Below are 10,260 nucleotides of genomic sequence, written 5' to 3' on the forward strand. Positions count from 1 at the left end.
TTTATTTATTTATTTATTTTATTTATTTATTTATTGGCAGAACAGGGGTCTCTCCATGTTGCCCAGGCTGGTCTCAAACTCCTGGCCTCAAGCAGTCCTCCCGCTCCAACCTCCCAAAGCGTTGGGATGACAGGCATCAGCCACTACTCCTGGCCTCAAAGTACCATTAAAAAAAAAAAAAAATCTTAGGTAACACATGCACTCGCCGCATCCCTGTCCTTCTCCACCATATTAGATCAGGTCGTAGTTCCCCATTATTGTCACCTGCTGTAAACATTTGGAGTTTACATTCTTCAACTCAAGTGAGTCGTGATCCTGACAGAGGATTCTGATTTAACGGTCTGAGGTGGCAACCCACAGTGGTATGCTTTTAAAGCTCCTCAGGCCTTTCTAACAAGCAGGCAGGCAGAACTAGGGAAGCGTAACCCCACCCCTGCTGCTCTGGCAGGCCTGTCTTGGCCCCACTGAGTTGGAAGCACTGCAGGACCCAGGACCAGCCTCCAGGACTCCTCCTGACAGGTTCAGAGGGCAGATTTGGGGGTGGAGGTGCTCCTCTCCCATTCTCTCCCCTGTCCAGGTCACTGAGGTGAGAGCTCAGCTTTGCTGCCTGAGTTCCTGGCAGACAGTGTTCTCTATCCCCCACCTTTCTGTAGGGTTAGCTCAGCCTGGAGGCTTGGGTTTTTTGAGGTTTCTTTGAAATCCACTCCTGGCTGGGCCACTGGGGTCAAAATCAGGATTTGGGCCAGGCAGGACACAGAGTGGGGGCGGGGAGCGGCCAAAGGCAGGCTGGGCCCCCAGAGCTGCACAATAACTGCTTTGGAGGGAGGAGGAGAGCCTGGGCAGAGAGGCTTTTGTATTTCATGGCCTGGCGTACCCAGTTTCCAGGGCAACCATGGACACCACGGTTCTGTTAGAGGTGGAAGCCAAGACCAGAAGACAGCCAATTAACATCCAGAGCCCAGTTATCTGAGCCAATGGGAAGTGGAGGTGGGCAATGGGGCTGGGAGGGATCTGGGACTGAGAAGTGCAGAGATCTGGGCGAGTTGGAGTCCCACTGGCTGTCAGGTTCAGCAGAAGCAGGGCCTGTTCCCCCCAACCCCTGCTCTGAAGGTTGTAGTGGGACACTCATAGCTGCCAGGCCTGCAGAGGCAGGAGAGGCTGAGCTCCTGGAAAGCTGCTTACAGATGCCCCTGCTCTGAATGAAGCTGTTCCTCTGGGCCAGGGTTCCCAGGGAGGGGTGTGGCACCTCGGGGAGGGTCAGCCCTGTGGCCCTGCTGGCTGCCCTCAAGACTGATGCCCTTTCTTGGCATCCCCTGCCACTGCTTCTCCGTGTGCAGACATCACCATGGACAACAGCCTCCTGGCCATAGTCGTGGCCACCAGTGAGTACCTACTGCCATTCCGTGTCCCAGGGGTGGGGCAGAGGCACCTTTGGCCCCTCACTGTAGGCAAAGCCCAGATTCTTCATCTATAGGGTCACCTCAAGCAACAGCCCTCCCCAGCCAAGACTTGAGAAGTATGCTGCACATGGCTGGTCTTTGATCCCTCTGGTCCCTTCCCTGTGCCAGGTCCTATGATGCCACAATCTTTGGTAACAAGAGGGGCTGGGCACCAGGAGCTGTTGAGCTGGGCTCTTGGGTCCTTTCCTGCCTCCTCAGATCCAGTTTCTCAGGGTATCTGCTCCATCCCCTCCCTTTGTGTCTCTGTAAAATCTCCCTTACACACATCACCCCCTGGGCTGCAGGCAGGGAAGGGACAGGGCTACTCTGCTCCCCCTCACAAATCTCTGCCCCAGGGACTTGATGCCGTAGCAAAAAGGGAGCTGCCTGCACCTCAGTTTGCCTTGCTTGTCAAGCTGGTATCAGTACCAGCCAGGTCATTCCTACACCAGCTTCTGGAGTGAATTCCAATCTGGTGAGGAGATGGGCCTGCACATGCTGGGTCCAGGCTGCCCCCTGACGGTGCCTCTTGGGGGAAGGCAGCCTCATCCACAGTGTTCATCATGGCCATCCTGCTGCTGCTGCTGCTGCACCAGCGCGACCCCCAGTGCTGCCAGGTCCTCTGCGCCTGCCACTTCTTCCGGAGTCCCAGCCAATACGTAAGCACCCCGATCCACCAACCCCTTGCCTTCATGCCCCCCACCCCCGACCCAAATCCTGACAAAAGGGCACCTGTGCTCTGGCCAAGGAGAAACAAGTGTTCAGTATGGAAAAGAAAGGGCCTTTGGAATCTTTCTCTGCAGCATCCAGCCTGGGTTCCCTCTGAGTCAGGGGAGCAGTGTGGAAAGGGTTAATAACATCTAGGCCCCTCCCTGACCATTGTTAAACATAACTCAGTGCAAGGAGCTGCTCAGTGAAGACAAGGTCTTTTTCCAGCTCCCAGGGGAAAGTGCAGAGCCCCGACTTCTGGGGAAGGGGGTAAGTGGCAACTACAGCACTGTCAGTCCTCTCCCCAGGGACAGCGTGCCATATGGCATCCTGTATAGAAAGGAAACAAAATCTGAGCTGCAGCCCCCCAGTCTCTGACACCATTCCCCAACACTGGGCACCAGACAGGATGGAGGGGTAGGGACAGGAGGTGGTTTTCTCTGACTTTCCCACCAAAGGTCATGAGACCTGGCTACCAGACAGTGACAGAATGAGCTACTGGCCAGAAAGGAGTGGATTCTCTTTACACCCTAGTGCATTTCAGAAATGCTGAGGGTCTGAGCTTTGTGCCTTGGCCCAGGTGGAGAGGATTAAAGGGATGGAGAAAGGGGCATGGAGGGAAATAAAGGGTTTGGAATCTGCTGTCTTGCACACTGACCCTGAGCTTCACCTTGAGCTGTGCTTCATGATCCCAGGGCTGCCCGCCTCCCTACTTCAGCACCATGGGATGCCACACCGAGGTCCAGCCAGTGGAAAGGAGCCGAGAGTCCCAAGGGATACAAGTGAGGCTCCCTGGGCCTGCCACCTGGGATGGGGGAAAAAGTGTGTGCTGGGGTTCTGAAGCCAGGCAAGGGACCTAGCGTGGTTAAGGGGACTAAAAAGAACGCAGGGGAGGGGAAGGATGGGATGAAGACTGGAGAGGCTTCTTGGAGGAGAGGGAGGAGCGCAATACCCCTGAACTTAGGCTTGCTCTGCAGAAGAGGACCCAGACCGAAGCTGGATAACACTGGTGCATGCCTCCCTGGCTCCCTTGGCTTTTTTTGGTCACAGGGCCACTCCCAGGGGGGTGAGGTATTCTGTGTGGGGCTGCCCAGGAGCCACCAGCTGCCCCTGTGGCAGCCAGCTCGCCTGCCCAGCTATGAGAGTGTTCGAAAGAAGGACCGGCAGCAGCAGATTCACCAGCTGATTGCACAGAGCTTCGGGCTCCGGGCCTGCAGAGAGGTGAATGTCCAGCCTTCTCAGCCCTGGGTGCCCTGGGTAACCGAGCTTTTCACATATCGCATTTTAACACACAATACCCAATTAGAGGCCCTGGGGTCAGGAAAAGGACCACTAGTGGAGAACTCAAGGATATGACTGGAGACCCCAGTTCACCTCTTTGTGTAGATGGTGCAGACCCCAGCCCAAGGAGGCCTAACCAGAGGGGTTTCCATGGAGCCAACATCTCCAGCGGAGATGCAGAAAGCAACAGTCCAAAGAAAGGGTGTTGCATATATGGGAAGAGGGCAAGAAAGTGGCTAATGCCTTTGCTCTCCCATCTCTCCAGCTGCCACCAAGCTATGAGGAAGCCATAAGGTCACTGCCTCCACCACCGGCCAGCTGTGGCTCTACTCAGTCATCCCAGGAAGCAGCCACCTGCCCTGCTCAGGGGAACACCACAGTGTAGGAGGGAGCAACCACCTCTGTCCTGCCCTTCCCCTTTCTCCAGGAGATTGGAAAGGAGAGCACTGAGCCTGTGGAGGTAGCCCCCATCAATCTCCCCTGCCTAAAGACTACCCCAGCTGGGCCTTGGTACCTGATGCCCCCACACAGGGTGCCAAAGTAAACCCCACAAACCCCAGGTCACCTCTGTCAAGGACCTGCAGGAGGTGAGGAATCTAGGGTCATGTCCTGGGAAAACAAGATGACATGTTCAAGGCAGAACTCCAGAACTGGGAGGCTTCTCTGACCTCAATCCCTGGAGTGTCTACCTTCAGGGCACAGTAGAGTCCCTGAAAGAAGTCACTGGACCCAACAGCCCCTCTCTGGGGCTGTAGCCAACACCACCTACCTCCAACAGCCAGGAATGACCATCCAAAATGAGATTTTCTTCCCGGCCCCTCCACTCAAAGCCAAGCCTCTAAAGGTCCTGGCTGGGATGACAATAGAGTGGCCTGACCCCAGCCCACTCTAAGCCCTCACCGAGTATTCCTGAAGCCAGATTCTTTGCTACTGTTTATCGTTTGAGATAAATCAAGAACGAGAAGAGAATGTGGGCTTGGTGCGCCTAGCTCTTCAGGTGAGCGGGAAGAAGCCATTTGTTTCCTACTCTGCCCTACCACTGCAAAGACCTCGGTAGTCCAGGGCAGTTGGGGCCTGACTGAGCCTCTCAGAAGCATCTCCTGCCATCCCACAAGCTCTCTCTCTGCCCTAGACCTGGACAGGCAGGGAAGAGGGTTTCCTGTGGCCACCTCTGGGGCTGCAGCCCCAGCTCCCTTGGCATGTGGCTACAGGAGAACATGACTGTGTTGCTTCCTTTACTGGCTGCTCCCACCCCTCCTCCCAGGGCCCAGCCCTTGGCCTTTTTTGGGATCTAAGAGGAGAAGCAGCAATGACACCCTCAAGCACAAGCTCCCCTCCTCCCCCTCTGGAGGACAGTGCCAAAGCAAGTCCCTCCTACAAAGTCCCCCCTTCTCATTTCCTCACTCAGATATGTTCTTTCCTGCTTTGAGGCTCCCCGTTGGTGTGCACTAGAGAACCTGGGTAAGGACCAACAGATCACCAGGCAGTTCCATCCAGGTGTGTCCCTAAATAGCATGCGTTCATGACGCTGGCTCACTTTATTTTTGGCCCCAGGTCAGGTCTCCCAAAGGGTTTCCCAGCAGTCACTTCAGAGTCTCCTGCAGAGTCACCATCAAGCAGACCTCTTCCTCGGGAGGCCGTGTCGCCACCCCAACCCTTGACTTCTGGTATCACCATCTCCTGTCACCTGGGCTCCAGTCTCTGTCCGATGGCCTCAACAGGACATCAAAGCATAGCTACCAGTTTGAAGGTGCCCTCAGGCTTGGCAGGAACCACGTGGACAAAAGTCTTGTAGAGCACAGCACCCTTGGGCAGCCTGGTGATCAGATCCACAGCCTCCGTGTTTCTGGGATGAGGCACGTAGACCTCCTTAGTGTAGCGGACTATCCCCTCTTCCAGGGCATACAGACATTTATTCTTCCCAACACCCACCTGCAACACACAGACCTGGTCAGCTGGTCAGCTGGTCAGCGAGGTGGTCCGTCCCAGAATTTTGGGACAGACTTCTCACACAGAGCCGGGCCCTGGGGCTGAAAGGGTGATCAGAGAGCTCCATCTCAGGTTCCCTTTCCCACTGGCTAGCACGTCCAAACCTTCTGCTTCTTTATTGACTCATAACAAATGAGGGAAAAGAAAGCTCCAACAGCCAACATGGGCCACTGCTCAGTCCCAGGGACTGTTACCTGGAGCCATGTCTATGCAGCTGGTCAGAAGCCACACTGCACAAATCCCAAAACCCAGGAAGATGCCCTAAATCTTCACTTAGACTTAAACAACACTAGAACTGTCATATTAAAACACTAGTTTGATGTAAATTTTCATTTAGATAGTGATCTATAAAGTTTAGGCTCTATGGAAAATATAAACCAAAGCTATATGGATAATGCATATGCTAATAAAACAATCATACTACTGCATTAGCTAATACCCATGTAAGCCCTTTAATACACATTAAGTCATTTAATTCTCACCTAGTGAAAGAGGTATTATTTCCAACGCCACTTTTCAGATGTGAAATATGAAGCAGAGAGATTAAACTGTGTTGTATATACAGTTTTTAACCATATTTTTTAGCTTTTTCTTTTAGAACTTCAGGCTGGGTGTGTGGCAAATTTTACCCAGGTAGTCCAGCATTATTCTCTGTCTCTCTGATTAAAAGAATGGGCTCTGGAGCCAGGATGCCTGGTTCAAATACCAGCACTGCTACTTACTCCTGTGTGGTCTTAGGCAAGTTACTTCACTGTGCCTCTATTTTTTCGTCTGTCAAATGGGGATAATATTAACTATTTTACAGGGTCATTTTGAGGATTAATGCTCAACAATCATAAAGGGCCTAGAATACTGTCTAGCTCAAAATGTGTTAGCTTTGATTATTATTGTTGACATAGCCACACATCTAATGTCTTAAGTTCTAAAAGGTAAAAAGCTACTACATACATAATCAATTCACATACAAATTAGCATCTTTGAAATAAATACAGGTTACTATCAACCTTTTTGTACCTACTAAAATTATCGAAAAAGGGGTGGGGGAGGGGAAACTGTTTACAAAGGCAACTAATATTTAAAATAATGTGGAGAGTACAGTATCGTTATGTCTCTGTAACAAAGAACTGTCCTACCCTATAAAAATGATGCCAACTTGCTGAAACTGAAATCCCCACCTGGTATGAACCTAACTCCTGGCACACTGAATTCTATTTCATTAAATTCAAGCTATCTTTCAACCATCTGCAAGTAAGTTTATACAAAGGAAGAAGTCTTAGAATAATGAAAAACTAATAAATTGAAATTAGTTTCCCAAGACTAAAATAATATTTTAAATCACCAGGTATCTTGTCCTCCAAGAACTGAGGGTTAGAAAGGAGAACCAAGAATACCAGGCCAATGCAACACCAGGGCAAATCATAGTGATCTGGGAGTTAGGCAGACCTGGTGCAAATCCCAGCAGTCACTTGCTCCTTCCACCCCGTCTAGGTCTCTGGCATTTCACCTTACTTACAGGGATGTGGTAAGGAAGAAATGAGATCGTGTAGGCATGGGAATCAGCACAATGCTTGCCATTTGGTAAGCACTCAATACATGCAACTGTTATTACCATGCTTAGGGGCAAGGAGAGGTCAACCTAGAAAAGGAAAAAGGGGGGCAGCAACGGAGCAACTCACATGGGCACCTGGGTGCCAGCGGAAATGGCGCTGTGTTGCAATGATGTTCCCAGCATGAACATAGTGACCTAGAAGAGAAGTCCACAGTGACTGGGGCAGCATAGCAAACTACCAAGAAAACATGATGGCCCAAATGCTGCACACCAACCTCCAAGCCTGCCCCTGGCCAAAAACAACTCCCAGACAGTCCAACACAAGCAGCGCAGGATCTGCCACCCAGCAGCTCTTGTCTCTAATTGCATGGTTATGGCTCACACCCACCCACTCGATGACCCTTCCTCAGGTCTTATCCGTTCCTTTAAACTGGAGCCAATTATGATGGTAAGGAAGAACAGGGCCAGGCACACGCAGGGTTCTTCTGCTCTCCTAAGGAACATGAGGACAGGGTGCAGCTAGGAAGGGGAAGCCAAGGCACATCCTCACCTTCCATTTTCTTAATGCCTTGGCGTCTGCCTGATGACTTTCCACCGAGGTTTTTGGAGCTACCACCCGACTTCTTGGATGCGTATCTGACAGCAAGAGCTGTAGCCGGAGTGGGGCTTAGCAAGGATGTAACTGCAGAGAAAACAGAAACATTGTTCAGACAGACAGGCTCAAACTATTTCTGCCTCAATGGGCCACATGCTGATACGTGAGAGGCGGTGGGGAGATGAGAAAGCTGTGTCAGGGGAGCAGAAGTGCCACTGAGTGTATTAGTTCTCAGGGAATACCTCTAAGTCCTTGGCTTTCTCCTTTTGGGGGAGGGGGCGGGGGAGCAGTGAAACACAAATGGAAAAAAATAAACATCATGTGTTCTGGGTTCTGACACATTCAGTCTAAATGTGCTGAGGAGAAATGGACACCAGAGAGCTGCCTGCTTCAGAGGCTCACTCACCCTCATGCACCACGGAGGGGCCAGAACAGACTTGGGGAGCCCAGTACATCCAGAAAGGCTTCGGTTTCAGGCTCACCCACGACTTTCTTTCTTTTTTTTTTTTAAAGACGGAGCTTCACTCTTGTTGCCCAAGCTGGAGTGCAATGGCATAGTCCTGGCTCCCTGCAACCTCCGCGTCCCGGATTCAAGCGATTCTCCTGCCTCAGCCTCCCAAGTAGCTGGGATTACAGGTGTACGCCACCACGCCCAGCTAATTTTTCGTATTTTTAGTAGAAACGGGGTTTCACCATGTTAGCCAGGCTGGTCTCGAACTCCTGACCTCAGGTGATCCCAAAGTGTTGGGATTACAGGCCTCACCCATGACTTTCTCAGCTGTCCACTCATCCACTGCTCACCAAATACTAGTAAACCAAAAGGATGGCTGGCCTAAAAGTGGCTCCCACAGGGTCCTGGCCATTTCAGAAGGCTGGGCCCTTTCTTCTCAAAGCACATCAAGCAGAGGTCCAACCATGACCCACACACTGCCCTTGTTAATCTGACCTCTCCATACTCATTCCAAAGTGCTCAATAGCATTCATTTGCAGAAGTAAAATGAACTAAAATTCATACTAAGATGGTAGTCCCTTGCTGTATGACAAGCCTAGGGGTGCAACTCCTTGCCTGCAGGTCTCCAGACACAGCCATGATTTAAGGTCCATGCCAGTGTCTTTAGAGAAGCCTTGTGGGTCTCTGGAGCCTATAAGTTCAGAGTTCCTGAAGCCTGGGTTTCTGACATTTCCATGACACCAGAGACTAGCTGGGGCAAAGGACCAGAGATAAGGACTCAGAAAGACAACATGTTAAAACATGCCCGGCGCCAGGATCTACCTACCTTTAAACATCTATTCATTCATTTACATACTTACTAAGCTCAGGAGCTGGGCTTTTACTTTACTTACATTATCTCACTCACAAATCTTTGCTCTTCACCCTACTCCCCATCCTCCTCCTCAAAGTAAATGGTACCACCATTCATCCAGTTGCTTAGGCAGAAACCAGAGTCATTGCAGATTCCTTCTCTTTGCTGTCCTCACATATTGTTCACCAGCAAGCTCTGTGGATGCTAACTCCAAAACAGATCTCAAATTCATCCGTTTTCCTCCAAGTTCACTGCCACCACAAACATCTTGGCTAAATCATCTCTCCTCAGGGCTATTACGACTTTCCATTTGATTTCCTCATTTCCACTCCTATCCCCTTTAAATTTACATAAGAGCAATAGTTTGCTTCTCAAAATGTAAAACTGGCTCAAGTCACTCTCCTGTCCCTCACTCTACACAGGTCTAGGTCTCCTGTCATTCTTTTTTTTTTGGGGGGGGGGGATAGGGCCCCATTCTGTCACCCAGGCTGGAGTGCAGTGGTATGAACATAGCTCACTGCAACCTCGACCTCCCGAGCTCAGGTGATCCTCCCACCTCAGCCTCCTGAGTATCTGAGACCACAGGCAAGCGCCACTACACCCAGCTAATTTTTGTATTTTTTGTAGAGATGGGGTTTTGCCATGTTGCCCAGTCGGTCTTGAACTCCTGGGCTCAAGCGATCCGCCCACCTAGGCCTCCCAAAGTGTTGGGACTACAGGCGTGAGCCATCACGCCCCGCCTGTCATTCTTTAGGTTTTAAATGTTATCTCCTCAGAAGCCTTCCTTCACCGTCCAATCTAAAAAAAGACACACACACAGACACACATTATCCTTCTTCACAGCACTTGCCAGTCTACATCTACTTTATATGTTCATTTATTGCCTTATGCACCAGAGAGAACCGTTCGGGGGCTAGAAGCCAAGTCTTCACGTTTTCTGCTGATTTTCCGAACACCTACCGCCGTGTCTAGCACAAAGTAAGACCTCAATCTGCTGAATCAATAGATTAATTTTTTCAACCCCAATATGCCAATGTTACTAATACTTCTACAGAGAAAGGACCCACCCAAATCCCCAACCGCCAAGGAACCCGTCCGTGCTGCTGAGGCAGGAGAAAGACAAGTGCTCTTCAAACGCCCTCACTCACGGCTCCACCCAGGATGTGTCACGTGACCAGCGACACCGTCCCTCAAACCTGGAGTACCCCACACACTTCCCCTCGCATCCAAGGTCCTCCGCGGGGATCAGTGTCACCTCCTTCCCTCCCTGCTGGAGCTCCACTCTGCCTCCCCGCCTCACCCCGCTCTGACTACTGCGTCCCATTACCGGCTGTCCGGGTCCTCAGCGCCAACACCACCGACGCCATGCTTTCGATCACTCACTTCCGGTCTCGA

General features: G+C 51.2%; 1 protein-coding gene across 1 annotated transcript, besides 2 other annotated features; it reads right to left on the reverse strand.

Annotated features, from left to right (window-relative positions):
- On the reverse strand, window positions 4,929–10,246 carry MRPL27 (mitochondrial ribosomal protein L27). The gene is made up of 4 exons (NM_016504.3): window positions 10,193–10,246; window positions 7,517–7,648; window positions 7,094–7,161; window positions 4,929–5,360 (listed from the first exon to the last, which is right to left on the reverse strand). The coding sequence occupies exons 1-4, from the start codon at window positions 10,230–10,232 to the stop codon at window positions 5,154–5,156; spliced, it is 447 nt and encodes a 148-aa protein (NP_057588.1). The 5' UTR covers window positions 10,233–10,246; the 3' UTR covers window positions 4,929–5,153.
- Window positions 7,835–7,996: a silencer, noted in NCBI's record as "fragment chr17:48448134-48448295 (GRCh37/hg19 assembly coordinates)". NCBI's record gives its function as "represses an EF-1alpha promoter that drives an FKBP-Casp9 reporter gene in an ReSE screen in K562 erythroleukemia cells {active_cell/tissue: K562}" and the evidence as "EXISTENCE:reporter gene assay evidence [ECO:0000049][PMID:32094911]".
- Window positions 9,780–10,249: an enhancer, noted in NCBI's record as "active region_12382". NCBI's record gives its function as "activates an Ori minimal core promoter by ATAC-STARR-seq in GM12878 lymphoblastoid cells {active_cell/tissue: GM12878}" and the evidence as "EXISTENCE:reporter gene assay evidence [ECO:0000049][PMID:35858748]".

This window comes from Homo sapiens, chromosome 17 (genome assembly GCF_000001405.40).
Source record: "Homo sapiens chromosome 17, GRCh38.p14 Primary Assembly".
NCBI classification, from domain to species: Eukaryota; Metazoa; Chordata; class Mammalia; order Primates; family Hominidae; genus Homo; species Homo sapiens.